General features: G+C 40.0%; 1 protein-coding gene and 1 pseudogene across 6 annotated transcripts in view, besides 2 other annotated features; one reads left to right on the plus strand and one right to left on the minus strand.

Moving 5' to 3' along the window:
- Positions 10752–10861: a silencer, noted in NCBI's record as "silent region_20848". NCBI's record gives its function as "represses an Ori minimal core promoter by ATAC-STARR-seq in GM12878 lymphoblastoid cells {active_cell/tissue: GM12878}" and the evidence as "EXISTENCE:reporter gene assay evidence [ECO:0000049][PMID:35858748]".
- CPSF1P2 (CPSF1 pseudogene 2) lies at positions 11763–12555 on the minus strand (annotated as a pseudogene).
- CLCN5 (chloride voltage-gated channel 5) overlaps positions 22770–26146 on the plus strand; it is a 176635-nt gene continuing 173258 nt past the window's right edge. For 3 of the 6 annotated variants that reach the window (NR_199781.1, NM_001440757.1, NM_001127899.4), the window contains exons 1-3: positions 22770–22966; positions 23581–23915; positions 25345–25488. Coding sequence is in view for 5 of the 6 variants with exons in the window: in NM_001440757.1 (NP_001427686.1) it covers positions 25473–25488 (16 nt within the window). In the remaining variant the exon portion in view is untranslated. The remainder of the gene's footprint in view (positions 22967–23580; positions 23916–25344; positions 25489–26146) is intronic. The other 3 variants (NM_001440756.1, NM_001127898.4, NM_001272102.2) reach the window with 1 other exon arrangement.
- Positions 23032–23081: a silencer, noted in NCBI's record as "silent region_20849". NCBI's record gives its function as "represses an Ori minimal core promoter by ATAC-STARR-seq in GM12878 lymphoblastoid cells {active_cell/tissue: GM12878}" and the evidence as "EXISTENCE:reporter gene assay evidence [ECO:0000049][PMID:35858748]".

A 26146-nucleotide genomic window follows, 5' to 3' on the forward strand; every position in this document is an offset into this window, starting at 1 on the left:
GAAAAATAGTCATGTCTAAAAGAAAGGGCATATAATTAATCATTTCAAAATCATTAGGGAAATAGGCAGGGATTTTGAAAATGTGATTAAACCAAGAGAGTCAAGAAAGGGTGGTGGGAGAATAAAATATGGTTAAAATAAAACACAAGAACATTCTCCTGTGCTCATGATGAAGCAAAAGGAACTGAGTTTATCTTTTTGTCTTAAACAACTAAAAACGATGGATGAAATATATAAAACAATGGTTATCAGGCATTGGACATCAGGCAGCAAAGGACACTGATCCTTGAAAGAATGGAAACAAAGTAAGCCCTATGATCATCTCAGCTCACTTTCAGGTCACAGCACAGGCATGGGGAATCTAACTAGAATCTGGCGGACTCCCTGAGTCAAGGAGACACAAGTGACCAAGTACTGGAGACTTCACGTACAGCATAGTGACAATAGTTAGTAATGTTTACTTGAAATTTACTAAGAGAGTGGATCTTAAGTGTTCTAAACACACACACACACACACACACACACGGTGAGGTGATGAATATGTTAACCGGCTTTATTACAGCGATCATTTTATAACATACACACATATCAAAACATCATGTTGTTCCCATGGTGTGACCACTCTCCCACTCCCTCCCTGCCCGCAGCGAGGAGGTGCATGGGAGGGGGCAGGGAAAAATTAAAACACAAATTTAAAAAAAGAATAACAACAACAGCAACAAAAACCAAAACATCATGTTGTACATGCTAAATATATACAATTTTTATTTGTCAGTCATATTTCAATAAAGCTGGGGGAAAAGCAAGAAAAAAAGCAAATTCAAGAAAGTGGACAAAGTGATGAGATTCACAGGATAGGATGTGGGTGGTGAAGAGAAAGAAAGGGGGTGAAGGAGAGCACTCTGGAAATATGCACAGAGTCCCCTTGAATCTTTAGCTGATTGCCAGTCAGCACATGCATGTGGGAAAATTACCCAAGGCCAGGGAACGGATCACAAAAGACGAGCATGGAGGACACGTTTTGGAGCTCAAATAGGGCTGGGGCTTTGGGTTGAGTACTCAAAGAAGTACTGCTTCAGTGGAGGGCAATATTAGCCTTAAACTGCTGCTTTAATCTGTTACGGAAAAATTAAAAGTAAAATTTCCTGCCAACCCATGAAATTCTCTCCATGAATGGTAGAAAAGAAAGAAAACAGTTTTGTTATATTGAATGAGCATTAAACCAGACTCTTTTGCATCACAGGCAATCTGCTAATGAGATTGCAAAAACAAAAATAACCCCATTCTTATGTATGCAATGTATCCATTATAAACATGTTCTTAAGATAAATGATAAATTGTTCTTATGTAAGAGAACTTGACAGCACTGTTTGCTATACATTCTTTTATAGTTCATCCTAAGTTCACCTGGTAATTGGAGTAGCCATCTGTGGTAGTTAATTGCCTTTATCTGAAGGAAATATGAAACTTCTCATATCTCTATGACAAGCAGGTGCTTACAGCTTAGAGCAAGGCACCTAGGCTAAACTCCCAGGATGACAGGGAGATATAGGGCTGCTATCTTCCTTGATGTTTACATTTCAAAGAGATGGCTTCCAGTCCCTTAAGAAAAACATTCCTGAGTTATAAGGCTGGCAAGAGGCTTATTTAGTCTTTAAAGAGATTTACATACATATCAAAGGGACAGAAGAAGGATTCACAAATGAGAAGTTTCTCAAGGAAATATTACCGAAAAGGGAGAGAGAAAAGGTCTCTTTCTCTTTTGGCAACAAGAAAAGTTCAATTTTATTTTTGTTTACTCTTCCAGATTTCATCTTACAAAGATCAAAAGCAAGCTTCAAAAGGATCAAATTCTTTCCAAGTAACTTAACTGCTTCTCAGAAAAAGCTAATAATTATTAAAAGAAATATAAAAAATTTAGTACCAAACAATATAAAATTCACAATATCTACTATCCAACAAAAAATGATCAGGTATGCAAAGACACAGGAAAATGACCCATAATAAGGAAAAAAAAATCAATAGCAGCAGACCCCGAAATTGCACAGATGATATAATTCATAGACAAGGACATTAAAACAACTTGTAAATATATTTCAGATATGTAGAGGAAAGCATAAGCATGTTAAGAAGAGAAATGGAAGATATAAAAAAGATCCACATTGAATTTGTAAAGATGAAAATATAATGTCTATGATATAAAATACACTGGATGGGATTAACAGCAGATTAGACACTGCAATAAAAAAAGATTAGTGAGCATGAGGACATGGCAATAAAAATCATCCAAAAAAGAACATTAACAGGAAAAAGTCTGAAAATAAATGAACAGGACATTAGTGAGCTGTAAGATGACTGCAAACAGCCTTATATGTGTGTAATTCCCAGGAGAGGAGAAAGAGGCAGGCAAAGAAAAATTACTAGGATAAGTGATGGCCAAAATTTCCCCAAATATGATAAATATATAAACCCACAAATATAAGAAACTCAACAGACTCTGAGCACAAGAAATATAAAGATGTCAAAATCAAGTTGCTCAAGAAATAGTAATAATGAAAAAATCCTAAAAGGCATCAGAAAAAAATACACATTATGTACAGAGGAACAAAGACAAAAATGATAGTATATTTTTCATCAGAAACCATGTAAGCTAGAAAACAATGAAGTGGTATATTTAAAAGAATGAAAGAAAGTACTGTCCGCCTAGAATTATCTACCTAGCCAAAATACTTTCAAAAAGAAGGAAAAATGGAGACCTTTGCAGGCACACAGAGGCTGAAACAATCATCACCAGTGGACCAGCACAAGAAATGCTAAAGGAAGTCTTTCAGGTAGAAGGAAAATACCAGGTCTACACAAAAAAAATAGATAAATACCTACTTAAAGCAGTGAATCTACATAAAGAAATAAAGGGACAGAAAAAGGTAATTACTTAGATAAATATATATTTTTTCTTATTTAAAAAATCTTGATTTCTTTTAGAACTCACATTAATTTAGCTTTTTTGTTTTTTTTTTTTTTTTTTTGAGATGAGTCTTGCACTGTCCCCCAGGCTGGAGAGCAATGGCGTGATCTCGGCTCACTGCAACCTTAAGTGATTCTCCTGCCTCAGCCTCCCGAGTAGCTGGGATTACAGGCGCCTGCCACCACGCCCAGCTAATTTTTTGTATTTTTAGTAGAGACGGGGTTTCACTATGTTGGCCAGGCTGGTCTCGAACTCCTGACCTTGTGATCCACCTGCCTCGGCCTCCCAAAGTGCTGGGATTACAGGCGTGAGCCATCGTGCCTGGTCAGCATGTTTATTAAATAATAAAAATGAGGGGGAAAGTCATTAGTCATTTAAATTCATGCAAAATTTAGGAGTGGAGTTTAATATGTAAAGCATAAACTCATTTCTATTTTAAAGTTTTAATTCATTAAACATAAATATTTGCCACATGCCATAATCTATGCTAGATACCAAGAGTACAAATATGAAAATATATGAATCTTGATATCTATGAACTTATATTTCAGATACTAATTATCTTCAGTGAAAATAAGATTATTTCATATTTTTCCTTTATATTTCCTGTTGTATCTTAATTAAAAAAATCCTCTTGATTTTAAAATAAAGAAATCATAAAGGAGATTAGAAAGCATTTTGGGCTGAATGAAAATGAAACTATGACATATCAAAAATTGAGGGTGACAACTAAAGCAGTGCTTAGAGGAAATTTTGTTATGGTCAATAGTACTTTATTTTTTAAATTATTATTATACTTTAAGTTCTAGGGTACATGTGCACAACGTGCAGATTTGTTACACAGGTATACATGTGCCATTTTGGTTTGCTACACCAATCAACTGGTCATTTACATTAGGTATATCTCCTAATGCTATTCCTCCCCCAACCCCCCACCCCACGACAAGCCCCAGTGTGTGATGTTCCCTGCCCTGTGTCCAAGTGTTCTCATTGTTCAATTCCCACCTAAGAGTGAGAACATGTGGTGTTCGGTTTTCTGTCCTTGTGATAGTTTGCTGACAATGATGGTTTCCAGCTTCATCCATGTCCCTGCAAAGGACATGAACTCATCCTTTTTTATGGCTGCATAGTATTCCATGGTGTATATGTGCCACATTTTCTTTATCCAGTCTATCACTGATGGACATTTGGGTTGGTTCCAAGTCTTTGCTATTGTGAATAGTGCCACAATAAACATACGTGTGCATGTGTCTTTATAGCAGCATGATTTATAATCCTTTGGGAATATACCCAGTTATGGGATGGCTGGGTCAAATGGTATTTCTAGTTCTAGATCCTTGAGGAATCGCCACACTATCTTACACAATGGTTGAACTAATTTACACTCCCACCAACAGTGTAAAAGCATTCCTATTTCTTCACATCCCTTAGAGGAAATCTTATAGCATTAAACACTTACATCAGAAAAGAAGAAAGGTCTCAAATAAATGACCTAAGCTTCCATCTTAGGAAACCAGAAAAAAAGAAGCAAGTCAAACATACATTAAACGGAAGGATAGAAACAAACAGTAGGGCAGAAATCACTATAATATGAAATAGAAAAACAACAAGGAAAAAAAATCATTGAAACCAAAAGTAGATTCTTTGAAAAAATCAATACAATTCATATATATCTATTTAGACTAATCAGAAAAAAAGAGTAAAGTGCAATTTACTGGTATTCAGTAATGAAATAGGGGAACATCACTATAGATCCTAGAGATGCTAAAAGGAAAATGAAGGCATATTATGAATAACATGCTGTCAATAAATCCAGCAACATGGATAAAATGAACAAATAATCTGAAAGATCTAAACTACAAAAGCTCACTCTGAGGAAACAGATAATCTGAACAGCCCCAATACTAAAAAAGAAATTGAATTTTTATTTACAAACCTTCTCAAACTCATGTCACAGATGGCTTCACTAATAAATTCTACCAAACATTTATGAAAAAAACCCCACAAATTCTACATAAATGCTTCCAGAACATAAAAGAGGATGGAATGAAGTGAGCACTTCCTAACTAATGGTATGTGGCCAGCATTACTCTAATACCCAAATGAGACAAAAAATTTAAAAACAAAAACTATGGATCACTATCCTTCATGAACATAGATGCAAAAATTCTTAACAAAATTTGAGTAAATCATCAAATACATTATGAACAAATGATTTAATCCAAGCATACCAGGAGGGTGTGACATTAAAAAACCAATCAACATAATTCACCATATTAAAAGATTAAAAAAAAAACAAGCCATATGGCATTTCAACAGATTCAGGAAAAGCATTTCACGACATCCAACATCCTTCATAATAAAAAACATCTCAGCAAACTAGGAAACAAAAATGAGAACTTCTTCAACCCATTATAGAACATCCAGAAAAAATCTACACGTAGTATCATATTTATGGTGAAAGCATATTTTTGCTCTGCTCCCAAGATCAGGAACAAAGGAAGAATATGGGCTCTCCACTTATATTCATTATTCTACTAGAGGCTCTAGCTAGTGCAATAAAGCAAGACAAAGAAATAAAAGGTATACAGAGTGGAAAGGAAGAAGTAAAACTCTCTTTATAGTCACATGACATGACAGTGTATGTAAAGAATCCTAAGGAATTCACAAAAGAAGCTGCTAGGACTCTTAAAGGAGTTTAGCAATATTGTAGTAAACAAGATCAATGCACAAAGATCAATTGCATTTTTATATACTAGTTACGAATTATCAGATTCCATTAAAAAATCTATGCCATTTACTATAGCTTAAAATATATAAAAACCTAGAGATAAAAATCTAACAAAATGTGTGTAATATCTATGCACTGAAAACTACAAAACATTGCTGAAAGAAATTACAGAAGACCTAAATAAATTGAGAGGTGTACCATGATCATGGAGCTGAAGACTGAATATTGTTAGCATGTCAATTGTCTCCAGATAGGTCTATAGATTCAATGCAATTCTAACCAAAATCCCATCAAATTTGTTTGTAGAAATTGACAAGCTGATTTTAGAATCCATACACCAATTCCAGGAACTTAGAATAGTCAAATATAATTTTGAAAAAGGAGAATAACACTGGAATACTTATAATTGACTTCAAGACTTGTTATAAAGCTACAGTGATCAATACAGTGTGGTCCTGGCATGAATATAGGTAAATAGATCAATGGAATAGAATAGAGAGTTCAAATATAGGCCCACAGAATTGATTTTTTACAAGAATGGAAAGGCAATTTATTAGATAAGTGATAATATTTTCAACAAATGGTGCTCAACTGATTAAATATTCATATGGAAAAAAGTAAATTTTGATGCATGTCTTTTTCCATATTAAAAAATTAACTCAGGCCAGGCATGGTGGCTCATGCCTGTAATACCAGCACTTTGGGAGGCTGAGGCAGGCGGATCACCTGAGGTCAGGAGTTCGAGACCAGCCTGACCAACATGGAGAAACCCTGTCTCTAGTAAAAATACAAAATTAGCTGAGCATGGTGGTGCATGCCTGTAGTCCTAGCTACTGGGCAGGCTGAGGCAGGAGAATCGCTTGAACCTGGGGGGCGGAGTTTGCGGTGAGCCGAGATTGTGCCATTGCACTCCAGCCTGGGCAACAAGAGTGAAATTCTGTCTCAAAAAATAAATAAATAAATAAATAAATAACAAAATTTAAAAAATAAAAAAAAAACTCAAAATGGTCATAGGCTTAAATGAAAAAAACAAAAGCTATAAAACCGCTGGAAGAAAACATAGTAGAAGATTTTTTTTAACTTTGAGTTAGGCACATATTTCTTATATGTAACACCAAAAGCAGAGTCCATAAAAGAATAAACTAATAAATTAGATTAAATCTTCCGTTTTTAGAAAGACACAGTTAAGAGAATGAAAATACAAGCCACTGGCTAGTATAAAATATTTAAAAATCTATACTCAATATAAAGGATTTGTATCAAAACTATATAAAGAACTTTCAAATTTGAATAGACTAGTAACCATTAAATAAGTCAGATTGTTAGAAAATAAAAATCCCCTCGAAGAAGGCCGAAACGACTTCATCATAGTTTTTTGTTTGTTTGTTTTGTTATTTATTTATTTATTTATTTATTTTTAGCGAATCTTCAAAAAATATCTAACCTCAACTTTCTTGGTGAATAGAAAAATGTTACATATTTTTGAGGCTAAAATGATCTTGATGCCCAAACCTGACTGAGACAGCACATGAAAAGTTTATGGGCCAATCTTGAGTGTAAGCATAAGTGAAAAATCCTAGCTAAAATACAAGCAGATTTATTCCCTAATGAATGTTTTTTAAAATATATAAGCAAGTAAGGTTTATTTCAAGAGTGGCTTAATTAGAGAATCTGCTAATGTAATTCACCACATTAATAGATAAAAAGGAGAGAAACCATATGATTATGTTAGCTGTAGAAAAGCAACTACAATTCAACATTCATTCATAATTTAAAAACAAACAACAAAACAGACACAAAAGTGAAAAAGGATAGCTACTCCAAACCCACGGCAAACAGTGCCATTATTTTCCAACATGATACTGAAAGTTCTAACGAATGCACTAAAATGACAAAAAGAAAACAAAAAGAAAAAGAATATAAAAATATAATTCACAGATGATATGTTTATGTATAAAATCTGTGAGAATCTATAAACAAACTATTAGAATAAGAGAATTCAACAAGGTTGCTAGATACAAGAATTTCATATAGTATCATTAGAATTCCTACATAGTAGCAATTAGCACATAAAATGTAATTGTTAAAGAAGGATCTCATTTGCAGTAGAATAAAACTCTATAAGGTATCTAGGAATAAGTCTAAAAGTAATATTTTACTTAATATATTAAAATGATCTCATCTAAAATGTATTTGATCTATTTAATTATTTATACTTTAATCTCCATTCAATCAAAATTTTGAGTTCGCACCATGTGCCAAGTACTGTTGTTAGGAGATGTAGTGATAAATGAGACAAAGTTCCCACCCTCATGAAACTTATATTCTAGTGAGAGAAGGGGATAAGAAATAAAATGAGAAAAATATACAGCATTGTAGAAAAATAAATCAAGTTTAAAAATGGAGGACAAAGAGGGGTGGTATTTTAGAGTAAGTGGTAGAAGGAAAGGAGAAGACATATAATAGAGACCCAAGTGAAGTGGGGGAGCTTGCAAAGGTGGGGGTAAGGGGGGGATAGCTTTTCAGGCAGAGAAAGCAGCAAGGGCAAAGGCCCTGAGGTGGAGAGAGCATGGCAGGTCTAAAAACAGCAACATGAAGTCACTGTGGCTAGAGGAGTGAGTGAGGTGGAGAATGGTGGAAGATGAGGTTACAGAGTTATGCATGGAACAGATTATAGGGCCTTCCTTGTAAGCTATCATAAGGACATAAGAAGTATAGATTTTCATTTGAGTAAGATGGGAATGCCACTGGAGGGTTTTGAACAGAGGAGTAACACAATTTGATTTGTGTTACAAAAGGATCATTTTGACTTTTGTGTTGTGAATAGAATATAGGGTGGTAAGGCTACGTAGACTCAGGGAGGCCAGTTAGGACAATATTGCAGCAACAAAGTGAGAGATCATGGTGTCTGGGAACAGTGTGGCAGTGGTAGAGAAGGTGAGAAGTGGTTCAGTTCTGAATATGTTCCGAGGAGAAAGCAAAGGGATTTGCTGATACAGTCGTCCCTCTATATCTGCTATGGGGGATTCGTTCCAGCTCTCCCCTCATCAAAATCTGTGGAAGCTCCAGTCTTAATGGCGTAGTATTTGTATATAACATACACACGTCCTCCCGTATACTTTAAATCATCTCTAGACTATAATATCTAATACTATGTAAATGCCATGTAATAGTTGTTGTACTGTGTTTTTTATTTTATTTGTATTTTAATTGTTTTTTACCCCCTTGAATATTTTCAATCTGAGGTTGGTTAATTTGCGGATAAGGGCTGACTGTAGTTTCAAGGTATTCTGGCTTGAGTGATTGCAAGGATAGTTTTCCATCAACTGAGATGGAGCATGCTAGGGGTGGAACAAGTTTTTAAGGAAAAGTTAAGGATTCAGTTTTCAACATGTTAAGTTTGAGGCATCTGTTAGACATCCAAGTTGAGATGTCAAGAAAGCAGTTAGATATATGATCTAGAATTTAGGGGAGAAATTAGGTCTAAACAGGTAAATTTAGAAGCCATCAGCTTCTTGATGGTAATTAAAACCAGGAGACTGGATAAAGTAATCTTAGGAACGAACATAGAAAAGAAAAGACAAATAAGGACTGAGCACCCTGAGTAGTTAGTTAAACAGCATGTGAACCATTTTGTTCTTGATCACTTAGTTTTTTTGGATCCAAGTGATGGATCCTGTTCTTTCTCCTCTTAAGCTTGGTATTTTCTACATTTGCCAATGTCAGTGTGTTTTCCTATAGTTTATGTGGGAAACACCACTAAGTCTCTTGTTTCTGCCATCCTTAGCTTCTCACAACTAGGTCAGTTAATTTCCTCACCTGTAGTCAGTCCAGTCCCAGTTTTTAAAACAATTCATATTGGAAGCATGAAGAATTTCAGAAATATCTAGATCTTCTTCAGCAGGGCTTAGGATCACATTGCTGTCTTTATTGGCTAGGAATAGAGCTCCCCTCTCCAGGACTCTGCATTTCCATTAACAGAAGTGAAGAGCAAGCCTTGATCACCCACCCATTTCCTCCCCATCAACAATCACAGAGGTGCCATGACTATCTGCCTTAAGATCACAGAACTAAGTCCTTTATACCTTTCAACTTTGTTTATGTCAGTCATGACAAGAACCCTGGAACTCCTTGGCCACTACCTGTGTATCTCATGTTCTAATCCTCATACAACTTTGTATATTTCCCTATTCTTACCTCTTAGCCCTCTCCAGATCCTGAAATCCTTCTATTGTGTCCTCTAAAACCACAGTCCTGGTTTGCCCAGGACAATTTCAGTTTACACATGATGTACCACTGTCCTGCCTCTGTCATTCTCTAGAGTGTCCAAGACTGGATGATAAATTATACAGTCCCCTCATCTAGAACCCAAAGTCATCAGCGAAATCCCCTGTATCCATTCCCTGTTTGCTGAATGCTCCCCTCACCTTCTTGAGTTAACTGAAATCTGGATCCCCCCAAGGACTTTACAGCCCTTTCAAGCAGTGTTTTTTTTTATCCCATATCCTGAGGCCCCTCATTGCTGCTTCCAGATCATTCTCCCTTTCTCCTCCCTAAAAATCCCCAATCTTTGAATTCCCTGTCACGGAGTATATTACCCACCATCCTACCTTGCTGTTATTTATAGAACATCAGTGCCCCTCCAGTTTCTCAAAAGTTTTGGCTTCTGTCTCACTGTCACTCTCTCCAATTAATCTTGTCTTAATTCTTTATGATCCTAATATCTCAATACCTGATCCTTCCAACATCTCATCCTCTCAATTCCTTGAAACTCCCCGCTTCCAGTTTCATCCTCCACCTAGTCGCAGCTCCTTGCCTCTCTCTTGTCCTTATTAATAACTCCTTCTCCTCTCCTCCAACCCCAGAGCTGAATATGGCTGGGGAAAAACACAAAATGATACTCTCACTTTAAATTCAAGCCCACAAACCTCAAGTGGGCACTTAATGTTGCCAGGAAATCACATAATATTATCCTAGTCCATTTACTCTGCTGGTTTCCTAGACAACTATTTTATACCTTCTCCTCTCCCTTCAAGCCTCTAATGCCTCAGCACACATCCTCATTCTCAGCCCACGACCTTGCTTCCGGTTTCACTGAGAAAACAGAGGCAATCAGAAAACAAAGCCCACAAATTTCTACCACCATATCTTTTCACCTACCTAAATCTGTGTGTGTACTCTACCCTTTCTCCCATTATGATGGATGAACCGTCTCTGCTCCTAGCTAGGTCAACCCCACTACTTGTTCACTAGATCCTATCCCCTTCTGGCAGTCCCCTCCTCTCTTGCCCTTGTAGTATAAATCCCACCCCCACCCCTCCAACCCTGGCCGCCAACAGGTTATTTCTCATCAGATTTAACCATGCTATTTTTGCTCCCACTCAAAAATTTAAAACATCTTTTGAGCTACCATCCCTTGCTCACTATTTAGCCCCTATCTCCGCTCCCCTTTACAGCAAAATTACTCGCTAGAATTTTCTATATTCAATCTCTGCCATTTCTCTTTGCCCATTTTTTGAACGTTTTATTTTGAAATAATTATAAACCACATGAAGTTGCAAAAATAGTACAGAGAGGCCCTTTGTAAACTTTACCCAGATTTCCCCAATAGTCACATCCTACAAACTACAGTATTTCAAATCCAGGAAATTGATATTGGTACAATGTGTGTGAATAATTCTATGCCATTTTATCATATATGTAGGTTTGTGTAACAACCATAGCAATCAAGATACAGAACTGATCCATTACCACAAAGAACTCCTTCCTGCTACCCCTTTATAGCCACACATACTCCCCTCTCACCCACCTTCCCTATTCCCTGGCAACCACTAATCTGCTCTCCATCTCTGTAATTTTCTCAAATAGAAAATATGATATAAATGGAATCCTATAATATGTGACCTTTTGAGATTGCCTTTTTGCACTCACTGTAATATCCTTGACATCCATTTGTTAATGTATGTGTCTATCATTTGTTTTCTTTCTCCCACTTTCCTTGTGTTTTGTACAATAAGGGGTTGGGAAGCAATGTACAGGGGCAGCAGCGGCATCCATGGGCTAGAAGAGGCAGTGACACTGTATGCCTCCTACAGTCATTCAGGACAATGTCAGGCGTGCCGTGGATTTTTTCCATCAGCTAATCACACACACCCCATGGTGCTGAGGCAAAGGCAAAGGTTGAGCAGTTCTTGGTTGAGGACACTCTACTTGGTATTCTCTAGGATGCAATGGTCCATGTGCAGCACCGGAAAGGCACAGGAGGTTGAGGCCGGCAAGGTGGGGCAGCATGGTGGTTGGAGCATTCTGTAGCATCAGCAGCCCCTGGGAGGTTTTCTTCACCAGCAGCAGACGCCCAATACCACCAACCAGTGTGTTCTCCCCACCCCCGCACCGACTGTTTGCTGGGCCTCTGGGGGACTACCTGGCATAGGGTCCTCCAGAATGTGTACACGCAGGTGGCTACATGGAAGTCTGCCCAGCTTAGCAGTTTCTGATGGGTACATGTACACCATAAGGTTGCGGTCTCTGCTGGACCCCAGGATACTGGCTAGGCACTGCCTGCCATGAAGTCCATGGTGTACACCTTGAGGAACTTGGCGTCCTGGGACATGTGGCTCAGTATCTTGCTCTCCTCTTGGTAGTGACATCTGCAGCCAGATGAAGTTCTTCACGCTACTCATCTGGTGGATGTATAGCTGGTGTCCACCAAGGCCATGCCTGTCGGCTCACTGGCCCTCAGGATCCACAGGAAGCTCTTCTGGCTGATGACTGACACCAGGTGGCCATTGCAGGGCACAGGACAGTCATGGGCCCCCTCAATTTCTTCCCATACAGGATCTGGAACTTGTTCCTGACCATATAGTAAATGTATGTTTAGTTTATTAGGAAACTGCAACACTACTTTCCATAACAGTTCAGTACCAGCCTGGCCAAAAGGTGAAACCCCATCTCTAATAAAAATACAAAAATTAGCCAGGTGTGGTGGTGCATGCCTGTAATCCCAGCTGCTCTGGAGGCTGAGGTAGGAGAATTGCCTGAACCTGGGAGGTGGAGGTTGCAGTGAGCCAAGATTGCAGCACTGTACTCCAGCCTGGGCAACAGAGTGAGACTCCATCATCAAAAAAAAAAAAAAAAAAAAAAAAAAAAGAAGAAAGAAAAAAGAAAAGTAAATTCATCAGTAAACAAAAAGACAAAAGTTCAGGCCTTCACCAAGCTTACACTAGGGAAGGGTGGAAGTACAGACAGATGAGTAATAAGATAAATAAGAATATTACATGGTATATGTAGGAGGTACATGCTATGAAAAAAAATAAGCTGTGAAGATGTACATAAGGAGATCTGGAGAGTTATAAATTAAAATAGTGTACTCAGAGAAGGCCTTGAGGGAAAGTGACACTTGAAAATGTGACCTATGAGAAAGCACTTGCAGGAAGTGAAAGTTCCTGGAGGTACCTGGAGAAAGAGGATTCCAGGTCAAGGGAAAGCAAGTGGGAGAGCTCTTGGATGGAAGCATGCTGGCGTGACTGGAAACAGCTGGTGTGGTGGAAACAGTATGAGCGAGGAAGCTAGCAGTTGATGATGAGGTCAGGGAACTAACAGGGGCCCGATCATGTACAGCCAGTGGAAGGACTTTGACTTTTGCTCCTGCTTGAGCCATGGCTTGAGAGCCATGGGAGGGTTTCATAAAAAGGATGGTAGAATCTGACTTCTCTTGTAAAAGGATTGCCCAGGTTACTATGTTAAGCAGGAAGGCAAAGATAGAAGGAGAAACAGCAGTTAGGAGGTGATTTCAGCAATGCAGGCAGATGAGAGCATGGTAGCTTGGACCAAGGTGATAATAATGACAGTGATCAGAAGGAGTCATATTGTGCATTTATTTTCAAAGTAGCACATCGGGATTTGCTGATGGATTGGAAAAAGGTGTTAGAAAAGTCAAGAATGACCTCTCTTGTGGCCTTAGAAACTGGGAATAATGAAGGACAAGCGAGTCTGGGGAGGGTAGAGATAAGAAGTGTCATTTTTAACATATTAAAATTTGAAATATGTACTAGGTATACAAGTGTAGAGATATTAAATAGGCAACTAGATGTACAAGTTGTAATTTAGAGAAGAGGTTTGGCCAGAGATATAAATTTGAGAGTTGATAGTAGATGGTGTTTAAAGCCATCAGATCAGATGAAATGACCAAGGGAGAGAGGAGAGATGAAGACAAGACTGATTCCTCGAGCACTCCCACCTTAGGAGATCAGGAATCCACGGAGGAACTCATAAGAAAACTAAGAAAGTAGCCATGAGATAGGAGAAAATCCAGAACAGTGTCCTGGAAACAAGTGAAGAAAAATGTTTCAAGAAGAAGAGAGAGATCAGCTGAGTTAAATTCTACTGATGGGTTAAATAAAATGAGAACAATATTACATTTGGCAATGTGGAAGTCACTGGTGTCTTTGACGAGATCCATTTTGGTAGAGTCATGGAAGATGAAAGCTTGATAAGAGTGCATTTAAAAGAAAATGGAAAAGAGGGAACTTCTGATTGTGTACAAGATGGAATGAATGCACTCATCCCTATTCCTCCTGCTAAGAAAAACCCTGGAGATTATATGTAAAACAAACACGATGATTCTGAATGATGAAGAGAAGGCAGACCAACCAGGGACCTTGGAACCTGAGGAATGGCACAGTGCTTGAGTGCTATCAGTGGAGGCCTAATGGAGAGTTTGGATTTTCACCCTTTCCCAATAGGAATGAGGTGCCTCTCCTGTCCCATGGTAAATACATGGTCTTCCATCTCCAACTGGAAATAACATGATGGTCCCCTTCCTGGCAGGGTATCTGAGAAGGCCAGTTAAAACAGAAGATTTAAATAAGATCCAGAGTCTCATTGCATAACACCTAATATGTCCAGGATACAAACAAAAATCACTTGTCATAACAAGAACCAGAAGAATCTCAAATTTAAAAAAATCAACAGCCATCAAAACCTATGTGACACAGATGTTGGGATTATATTACAAGGATTTTAAAGCATCCAACATAAGAACGCTTCAAAGAGCAATTATGACCAGACTTGAGTGAAAAAATAGAATGATGAGTGAAATAAATAGAAAAATGAGTGAAAAAATAGAAAATTTCAGCAAAGAAGTGATATAAAGGAGAACCAATCGGAAAGTTTATAACCAAAAAATACAATAACTAAACTTTGAAAACTCATTGGATGGGCTCAACAGCAGAATGGAGAATATGGAGGAAACAATGATAGAACTAGATGATAAGACAGTAGAAATAACCTAGTTTGAACAACAGACAGAAATAGACTGGGAAAAAAAAAAAAAAGATGAACAGAGCCTGTGGAACTATAACAACAGATATAGCATTCATGTTACAGGAGACCCAGCAGGAGAGAAGAAAAAAGTGTGGTGCTGAAAATGTATTTGAAGAAATCATGACAAAAATTTTCCAAAATTTGAGAAAAGACAACTTACAGATTCAATAACTGACCAAACCCCTAGCAGAATAAACCCCAAGAAACCCAGGCCAAGATACAGAGTTTTCTGTACCTGGAACAGTGAATGGCACACAGTAAGTGTTCAGCACATAAATAAATGCATATATCACTTAACTCAGGTTATGGTGTCCCAGTACTATTGGCAGTGGCCACTTAAATCTACATAGGCTTGGAGTCATAAAGATTTATTTTAAATTTTAATTATTTTATCTGCATTATATTTTAGAGTTAACTTATCTACTCTTGTATCTATTGTTAGATTACAGAGGTTGCCAGGATAACAGATCAACAATAACAAAAAATAGAATATATTCTTGTCAAACTTTATCCAGTTTAGTAAATCACTATTCTACATAATCTAAAGGGTATTCAAAGTGACTACAAAATGGATTTAAAAATGAGATAATCTGGTCAAGAAAAAAATAAAATGGAACAGTATGAGCAAGGAAGAGAGTAGTTGGTGATGAGGTCAGAGAACTAACAGGGGGCCCGATCATGCATAGCTGTGTACATGGAAGTCTTAAGGTAAGGACTTTGACTTTTGCTCTTGCTTGAGCCATGGCTTGGGAGCCACGGGAGGGTTTCAGATAGGAAAAATAAAATGAAACTAGAGGTGAGTTTAATATAAAATGCAATCTGTAAAATCCTGTTCACTTGCCGGGGGTGGGGAATACCAAATATTTGGCTCCAAGCTTTCTAGCAGCCAATGCAAAAAAAGAAATAAAGGGCATGATTCCTACGGAGAGCAAAGCCTCTTCCTAGAGCCATGTTCCCTGCTCTACCAGTAGATGGCGCACATTCCATGTGATGAGGATTAAGGAGCAAACTCTTCAAGGCAGGGCTTCTAAACTGAGCCTAAAATTAATATCAATCATTCTTTCTGAACTACGTGCCTGGCTATTTAATTCACCATATAGTTCTTAGTGCAGCTTTGGGAGAATTTGCTATTATCTCCTTTAAAGATAAGGAGACAGGATTACAGGTAAAACTGGCTCAAGCCCAGATTTGAGTCTCTACTCTTTCTATTGCACCAGGCAGGCAACTTGCTATTATTTGGAAAACCTAAGGCAGGTTTTACTCTAATTGGTGGGACTCTTTGACTGGGAGGCTTTCTTAGTGCCACTGCCACAAGATGCAGTAAGAGTCGGAGGCGAATTTGGGGTTCTGACATAAAGTAGCTGTTTCAGATCAGGGAAATCGTTTAATCCGCGTGACTCAACTTCCTCTTCTGCCAAATGGGAATGACAAAATCTGCTCCACTTAACTCTGGAAGTGGTGTGAGGATAGCAGAGGGAAATAGATGTGAAAACACAAAGTAGAAAACATTCTATAGGAATGCTGTATTAAACCCAAGATTTATCGAATTCCTACAATGAGCTGGGTGCTGCGGTAGTCCTGTCAGGTGGTATTATTCAAAGTGTGGTCCATGGCCCACTGCTGGTCCACAAACTGTTTGTTGTTGGTTTGAATCGAATGGGATAAAATGGAAAGAAAGTGTTCCAAAACCTTAACAATTTGTCAGAGTAATTTTATGTCTGTTGAATATAATCATGAAAGAGTTGCACTTGTATTTTGTGTTTTTGTTTTTATTTCATTTTTCTAGTAATTTATTGGTATTGTATTTTATAAAAGTATTGATACACGATATATTTTAGGGAAAATGAGTTTTTCCTATGAATAGTTTGAAAAGCACTGCTGTAAGGAATATAAAGTAAAATATAGGACATGGGCCTGCCATCAAGGAGCTTGCAGGCTAGTTGGTGAACAGGTAGCAGAGTGGTTCAGAGACGCCACTACCACTATTCCACTGTGCTTTAACTCCTCTATGGAACAGAAGTCTATACAGAGCTGAGGAACTTACAAGTGAAAGATCTTCAAATCCTCAAAAACATTCCCTAAACAAACCCTCATATCTGCTGCCATAGAATAGTAGCAACTCTAGCTAGACTTGGACTTCTCTCACATGGAGGGCAGCCTGACATGGGATTTTTTTTTTTTTGAGACAGAGTCTCACTCTACTGCCCAGGCTGGAGTGCAGTGGTGTGATCTCGGCTCACTGCAACCTCCGACTCCCGGGTTCAAGCAGTTCTTCTGCCTCAGCCTCCCAAGTAGCTGGGACTACAGGCGTGCACCACCATGCCTGGCTAATTTTTTTGTATTTTTAGTAGAGACGGGGGTTTCACCATGTTGGCCTGGCTGGTCTCGAACTCCTGACTTCAAATGATCCACCTGTCTCGGCCTCCCTAAATGCTGGGATTATAGGCATGAGCCATCACACCTGGCCTGACGTGGAATTTTTAAAAAGTAAAATTTCTCATGAAGGTCACTTGTCAAAAATTATCCTTCAATCAAACACTATTCTTGTTTTTCTATATTACTTTTAAAGATATATAATTGAATGGGTAATACACATCCATGGCACAAAATTGAGAAGGTGCATAGCTCTACATCCACATACTGTATTGTAGAGAATTTTGCATATAAGTACATAAAAAAGTTTTCTCATTTTTTTTTTTTGAGATGAGGTCTCACTTTGTTGCTCAGGAAGGAGTGCAGTGGTGCAATCAAGGCTCACTGCAGCTTTGAACTCCCAGATTCAAGTGATCCTCCCATCTCAGCTTCCTGAGTAACTGGGACCACAGGTGTGATGCCACACCTGACTAATGTTTGTATTATTTCTAGAGACAAGTTCTCACTACGTTGCCCAGGCTGGTCTTGAACCCCTGGGCTCAAGCGATCCTCCCACCTTGGCCTCCCAAAGTGCTGTGACTATTGGTGTGAGCCACTGCATCCGGCCTTTCATTCTTTTTCTTTTTTTTTTTTCCATTGGAGAGATGCACCATTATTTATTTGATCAGTCCCCTATTGAGGGACATCTGGTTGCTTCCCAGTTTTTATTATTACAAACAATGCTACAGTGAATAACCTCGTTCATATAACATTTTACACCCATGCAAACATAACTGAAGGAAATATTTCTGGAAATTAAATTTTGGGATCAAAGTCTCATATATTCTTAATTTTTATAGTTATTGCAAAATTGCCCTCAATTGACTAATTGCACTCCCACCAACAATTTATGAGAGGACTTACCCTCCCACCCCTGCTTTGTCAACACAGTGTATTATTATTACTACTATCATTATTATTATTATTTGAAGCAGTCTCATTCTGTCGCCCAGGCTGGAGTGCAGTGGTGCGATCTTGGCTCACTGCCACCTCCGCCTCCTGGGTTCAGGTGATTCTCCTGCCTCAGCCACCGGAGTAGCTAGGATTATAGGCATGCACCACCACACCCACCTAATTTTTGTATTTTCAGTAGAGATAGGGTTTCTTCATGTTGGCCAGGCTGGCTTCAAAATCCTGGGCTCAAGTGATCTGCCCACCTTGGCCTCCCAAAGTGCTGGGATTACAGGCATGAGCCACTGTGCCCGGCCAACACAATCTATTATAAATATTTAAAACTTTGCCAGTGGTATCTCATGGTAGCTTTCATTAGCATTTCTCCAGTTATGAGGTTGGCTATCCATTTTTGGTATAGAAGCCATTTGTTAATTTTGATACCCTGCTCTCCAGGCACAGGGCAATTACAAATGACTTCAGATCACTTTATCATCAGCATTTCCTAACCTACTGTTTTGATAGATCCCCTGAGCTAGAGAACTTTGTTCATTTTCTTTTATTCTGCCCCATTTTTTGTTCTAGAACTATCCCAGGCATTTCTTAGGCACTCGGGAAATTTTACTTTAAAATCAGTATTTCTAGCGGCTAGCACAATGGCTAGCATAATAGTAAGGGCTCAAAAAATGTGAAACAAATAAATAAGAACCATACAAGAAACATTCACTTACCACTCTACATGGCTACGTACTCATCTAACTGTCTCTATTTGCAATGCCAATTTTAAAATGAAAGTTAAAGCTGCATTTAGACATGATAGTTTAGATGTCACTGTGGTCTATTGTTCTAAAGCTTTTTCTTTTGCAATATTAAGTCTGAAGTGCTACCTTTTGTTATACAGAGAAATTCCGTTTTTTTTTAATAAGCTTTAAGATCACAATGTATTTACTCTTTGCTCTGTAAGACCTGAAATGGCTCTTGACCTGTTAACAGTTTGTTGACCATCATGGGAGGTGGGGTGGGAACATCTTTTCAATTTTGTCCAGGGTAGGGGGAGGAGAGCAGAGGACTCATTATGTTGATCTATCTTCACTCTCTTGGCCAAACCCACTCACTTCCATGGGCACAAACACATGGGACACCTGGCTGGATTTCTGTAGAGAGTGGTCTGAGCCATGGGAAAGAAAACAAGTTAACAGTCAGAATCTGTACCTCTTGATTGAACTGTTAATTTTGCCACATTAGCACCACACTCTCACCACTTCGCTTGGGAAGGTATTGTACAGACATTTATACTCACCACACAAATAGCTTCCGAAAAACTTGGGGATCCAAAGGCTGAAGGAGCCTTGTTCATTATCATCATTATCATTATCAATAGTAATACAAGCTAGCATTTATTGAGTGCTTAATCTGTTCTAACTGTTCTACACCTGTTAATACATTTACTCCTATTATCCCATTTTATAGGTAAGAAACCCGAAACAGTGAAGTTAGATAACTTGAACAAGGTGACACAGCTAGTAAGCGTCTGAGTATGGTTGGCTTTGAGCCCAGGCAGTCTGGCTCTGGAGCTCACTCTGTTTTGTTTTGCAATTCGCAAAAGATAAAATGTTCTTTTTTTGAAATGCACATTTTTTGGGGGGAGGGGGAGATTTCGTCCCCCAACTGGAGCCCTCCAAGCTGTCATCGGTCAGTGGCGACACCAAGTGGTAAACTGGGTGTACTGCAGCCCTTTTATAACTCCCAATTCCCCCCAATTCCTTGCTCCCTCCCAACCCCTCCTACTCGCTCCCCAGCTCTCCCAAATAAACCTGTATGTACTTTAAGTAAAGCCAATATGTTTGCTCTGCAGAGGCAGTTTCGTGACATGTCTCCTTCCAACCAGACTGCCATCCTTCAAACCGTTTTTTCCTGTATCAGAGGAAGAGGTGTCCGAGGTTAGTTTGTGTTTTGAATCTCATTTCTCGCCTCTCAATTATTTTACTCCATTAGTTATCCCCTCCTTTTCTTGACTCTTTTGTGTGTGTATGTGAGACAGAGTTTCGCTCTTGTTTCCCAGGCTGGAGTGCCGTGGTGCGATCTCGGCTCACTGCAAATTCTGCCTCCTGGGTTCAAGTTATTCTCCTGCCTCAGCCTCCTGAGTAGCTGGGATTACAGGCGCCAGCCACCATGCCTAGCCATGTATTTTTAGTAGAGATGGGGTTTCATCATGTTGGCCAGGCTGGTCTCGAACTCCTGACCTCAAGTGATCCACCTGCCTTGGCCTCCCAAAGTGCTGGGATTACAGGCGTGAGCCACTGCACCCGGCCTCTTGCCTCTTTATTATTGATTTCACCAGTAGTTTTTCTGCTCGACCTACATATAAGCTCCAGTTTCTTCTACTTCAATGACAAAAAAAAAAATCAAGCAAACAATCAAACCTTTCCTTGAACAATTACTCTAGATTCACCTTTTAAAAGATGAATTCCAAAAGAGGATTGCCTTGCTCAGAAACCTCAATTCTTTCTCAGTCACTTTTTGAATTAGGTATAAATCTTAGTCCAATATTCAGGATGCTCCAAAATTGGGCCCCAATTTACCTTCTGGGTATTATCTTCCACAATTCCCCTGTACTTCCTTACCCTAAACTTCAACCACATAGGACTACTCACGGGTCCTCACATATAACTTCCTGCCTGCTCACCTTTGCCAACGGTGTTACCTCCACTTGGATTTACCTTTATTAGAGGCCTGTACTGATATTTTCTAGTTATTTGTGGCTATCCCATACACCATGAGTGCCTGAAGGAAGGGACTGAATGTTACCAGCTCAGAAAGCAAAAAAATTTTGGACTGAAAAAATAAAAATCCGGCCATTCATCAGGCCGGAATAACACACAGATAAAACCAGATGCAAATTTAACAGAGAACAATATTTCTTTGGCGGACATATTGCAGCTGTAAAGTGGTAACGATGTTTTTATTTCAGTGACCACCACTTTTTTATTCACTGAGAGACTTTGTTCTCTAAAATCGTAGATTATCAGAAACTTTTCTGCTTGAAATCGTATCAGTAAGAATGAAACATCCCACATGCATCTGGAGGACATAAGTTTCTTTGACACAGAGAAGCAGCCTCAATTTCCAACCCAGGTGCAGAGCTTCAGATAAGGGGTATCTGGACACAACATTCCACATCTATCTTTATTTTGTGGTTCCCAAGGAAACACAACTCTGGGTTCACTTTGCAGTTCAGACCTGATGGTGACCCCAAATGACAGTACTGCTTTGCTTTGAGCTTACCAAAAACACTGCTTTGTTTAAAATTCACCTAAACTCCACTCTTCTCTCCAATCCTATAATGACTCCATGTTTTTCTGTTTGATGAAATGCCTACCGTGTGCAGTCTCTCATATTGCAATGGGTCAAAGCCTGACTATGTCGGATTACAAATTTGTCCCCGGTAGCCTTATGCTGATTGGGCTAGGATAGGGGTTTTTAAATCCCTGACCACTTAGCTTGTCCAAAGTAGGCATTCCAAATTGTTCACTGCAGTAGAGTACCCTGGTTCTAGTTAGATTACTTGGATTATATGGATTCCAGTCTCAGGTCTGCCAAGAACTAATTAGCTGGATCATCTTAAGTGAGTCAGTGCACCCCATTTGGCCTAAGTTTTCTCTTCTGCAAAACGGTGTGCTGTTTCTTTCAAACCTAGGGTAAGGGCTTTGGAGTAAGTTAGACCTAGGTTGGATTCCCAGTTCTACCACGTACTAGTCCTGTGACTTCAGCTTTTCTGAGCCTCTGTTTTGTAATGATTAATATGGAGATAATACAGTACTAACAACTGCAGTATAGTTTTTGCAGCGTTGCTGGAAACATCAAGTTGGCTGTTAAAAGTATCACTACGTTTGATCACTATTCCTATTCCTACTATTATATGAGTTTAGACAAGTTACTTAACCTTTCTGTGCCTGTGTATTTTTATGAGTAAAAATGGAGAAATAACCCTCGGGGTTATTGTGAACACCAAATGAGACGAAAAAAGTAAAGGGGTTAGGAGAGTGCCTGGCACATAAGAAGCAGCTCAAATTATGTGATCTAATGTTATTAGTATTAGATTTCTACTACTAATTACTCTGTGGGCCGAAAGCTCAGGATAGACAGTTTCATTCTAAGGACAAACCTTCTCCCCAGCAAAAAAAGGCACTGCAAGCTGGAAATAGTGAAACACAATGGGGCATTGCGTTTTCAAAGGCAACTGACACGCCCAGCACTGGGATAGGACCCGCCCGCCCAGTCCTCATTAAATATGGCAGCGAGCGGGGCCGACGTACTGCGGCTGCGCAAGTTGAAACTCCTCCTGGCAGCTCCTCCCCGGCGGGCCTCCCCTCATCTCGGCTGGGTAGAGGTGCCGGGTGTGAGCTCGGCGTGGCGCGCACGCGCAGACGCTGGCTGGGCTGAGCCGATACTCGCGAGGCGCCCTGTCACATGAGCCGCGCGCCCGCTTCGCTCCCCCTCCTCCCCGGCTGGGCTGTGTGAATGAAGCTCTGCCGGCTACGTGGGGCGCTCACTCAACTTGGTGTCCTGGACGCCAGAGCCGACCGAGCGCGCTGCCCACCGGCGGCGGACACGGGCTCCGCCGCTCCGGACCTCGGCGACAGGTAAAGGCAAACGGGCTGTCCCTTCCCCAACAGGTCCTTGGCGGGCCGCTGGCCCCCGGCCCACCCCCGGAGCACCCCCTAAGCGCAGCGACACAGGGGAAGCGCAATCCCGCTGGCTTGGACCCCCGGAGATGGGGCTTCCCCGCGCCCGGCGTTGGCAGCCCGGCGCTTAGAGGAGGTAGACAGGCTAGTTCCAGCCAGTGCTGAGCGGCGTCTTCCCGGGAGCCCAGCCCTGTTCTCCGAGTTATGGTCCCTGGGTTGCCCGAGCGAAGTTTCCTTGCGGAGCGGCGCCAAGCCCGCCCCGCTTTTGAATCGGAGTGTTTAGCCGCCTGCGTCCCCTTTCCCGGACTGGGGTAGGGTGACTTAGGCTGGCAAAGCTCAGCCGAGGCCCGGCTCTTCTCCCTCCGGCTCTGGACTTGCCGCTGGTTTTGTATGGGTCTTAGCAAAGTGGAGAAACTCTCGGAAAAGTAGTTGCTGCGCTGTTTTCCTTTTGCCACTTAACGCGCGTAGCTGGTTCTCTCCAGACTTTCGAGCCTTGCTCTTGAGCGCCTTGATCCACACGGGAAAAGCTTTGCCTTTACATTGACGCACGTTTCCTTTGATTAACATTTCAGAGCAAATCAGTTGCCTGGAGTTCCCAGTGAAGTTGTACCTGTGCCCGTGCGATAACGTCAGTGGAAGCTGCCCCGAGTAAGTGAGGGAAATCTAGAAGTTTGGAGCATAAAAAACCAGCACGAATCAACTTTACATAAACTTCATACATTTATTAGCAACTGCTCGGGTTTAACTTCAGGGATGTTAAATTTCGCCTAGTCCCACGGGACGATGATCATTACTTCTTAACTGCACGCGAAATAGGAGAAGAAAAAAGGCAAATCAAAACAGACTGTCCCAGGTCTCAGAGAAGTCATCGGAGCGCTTTTTCCTGCTGAATTCACCCTAGGAGTTTGTGAGTTCCTAGTTTTCTTGGACTTCGCGAACTTTTCCTTGTCCAAAGCACTGTCTTTTCTCTGTTGGTGTTTTGGGACTGGTGTACACATTAACCCTTTTGTCATTAAAGAAGGCCAACACGATTCTCAAGCTAGTATTAGCCTTCAGTGTTTGTGCTTTAGCACTTTCACTTAGGAGGTGGAGGTGTTGGTTGTATAAAAGATATGGAAATAACAATCTACTTTGATGTTCACCAGGTCAAAAAGGTGAAGACTTTTAGAAAAAACAGATTGGCTTGTATGCTAAGTAGGGAAGACCAGTTTATTAACTGAGATCTTGTTTAAATGGGCAAGCAGAGTGTTAAGCCTCTAAGTCAAACTAAGTCGTCAGACCTCTCATTTTTTCTCCCATTCCTAGCTCCTATTTTTTTTTTTTTTTTTGGTTTGAGCCGGCTCTCGTTCTGTCGCCCAGGCTGGAGTGCAGTGGCACAATCTTGGCTCACTGCAACCTCCGCCTCCCTCCCGGGTTCAAGCGATTCTCCTGCCTCAGCCTTCCGAGTAGCTGGGATTACAGGCGTCACTTGTAATTATAGTGCACCGCCATACCTGGCTAATTTTTGTATTTTTAGTAGAGACGGGGTTTCACCATGTTGGCCAGGCTGGTCTCGAACTGACCTCAGGTGATCCGCCTGCTTCGGCCTCCCAAAGTGCTGGGATTACACCGCACCCGGCCCCTAACTCCTTTAATATCTTTGCAAATATTGTCCTAGGACTGGATTTGAAGTTTTAACAACAGGAATTAGCTGAATTAATTTGGTTTTCTTTAAACTGGTATTCCATTTTTACATTTTTCTTCTTCTTTGGTTCATTTTCCCCCTGATTATAAAAGCAATATACGCTCACTATAGGAAATTTGCAAAGGGTGGGAAAGTATAATGACACAAGGAGAGAGAACTACTACTCAAAGGGTATCATCACTCTTCACTTTTTATTCCGCTTCCTTTTTTTTCCCCTATACAAGATCTGTTTCCAAACTTTATTCATAAACTTTCCTCTCCTTCTACTGATTTTTAAATGTAAAGTTGGGTATTTTGGGGGTTGGTTAGGGCACTGGATATTAATGTTGCTCTTCAGTCTCCAAAGCATGAAACTTCAAGGTAGGAAAGGTGCTTAACGGTGATTTCATCCAGCAACTCATCAACTGAGACTCAGACCTCATTTACTGAAGCTCTAATGATTCATGCAGAAATGTATAGCACTGAGTGGCAACATTAACTCACTCCAGATCTCTCTCTCTTCAGAGATACCTTGCTGCTTAGAGGGAAACTTGACACTACCCATGCCTGCATATCTTTGAAAGAGAGGTTCAGAGAGGAGCAGGAGATAATTTTCAAGCATTTGAAGTGTATAGTTTCTTTTAGGTATTCATTTTTCTGTTTACATTTTCAGGTTTGGGGCTTTAGCCCCTTGGAGAAAACAGGGCCACATAGCTGCCTTTCTATCAAGTCTCCCTACAAAACTGAGAGGCTCTGGGAAACTCAGCCTGTGACCCCAGCGTGGGTGAAGATAGGATCAAGATGGCCATGTGGCAGGGTAAGAAATTAGCACTTATTCTTCTAACTGGTTTTTCCTCCTACTCTATTCTCTACCCTCACCCAACCGTTCCCCACCCAGCCAATGGCAGGCAGCCAGCTGTTCTTTAATTTAACCCTTTGTCTTTGCAGGGACAAAACACATTAGTTTAAAAAGAAGCTGCTGCTAGCTATAAGTTTAAATTATTTAAAAGTGGGGTTGTAGGAGAAGTAGGAAAATGCCATGCCAGCAGCATTTAAAAGAACTCCCTTCATTTAAATAAGTGATCATTGGGGGTTATATGCCAGGAGACAGGATATTTTTTCCCATTTGTGTTTTTCATTTGTTTCTGGCAAATTTCTATCATAAGATTCCCCACCATAAGGTTGGGGAGACAGATGTCACTGCCTCTCCAGCTTCATCTTCCCAATAAAAACTTTGTGATGTATGCAGTTTGAAAGAGCATATTTAATGTTACAGTGTTTATATTTGATACAATATAAACATTGAGAAGGAAAACGCCTGTTTTAATAATATGAACTACCTGAGAGCAAAGCTCAGTAGTATCTTAGCTGATGTATTACATCTCTCATGAACTTGTGAATTCCTACCACATACAAAGTTATGTTTTATTTTGAGCGGAGTTGCGGTTTGTGCCCTTTGGAGGGTTTAGGAGTCT

The sequence above is a fragment of the Homo sapiens genome, chromosome X (assembly GCF_000001405.40).
Source record: "Homo sapiens chromosome X, GRCh38.p14 Primary Assembly".
Taxonomy (NCBI): domain Eukaryota; kingdom Metazoa; phylum Chordata; class Mammalia; order Primates; family Hominidae; genus Homo; species Homo sapiens.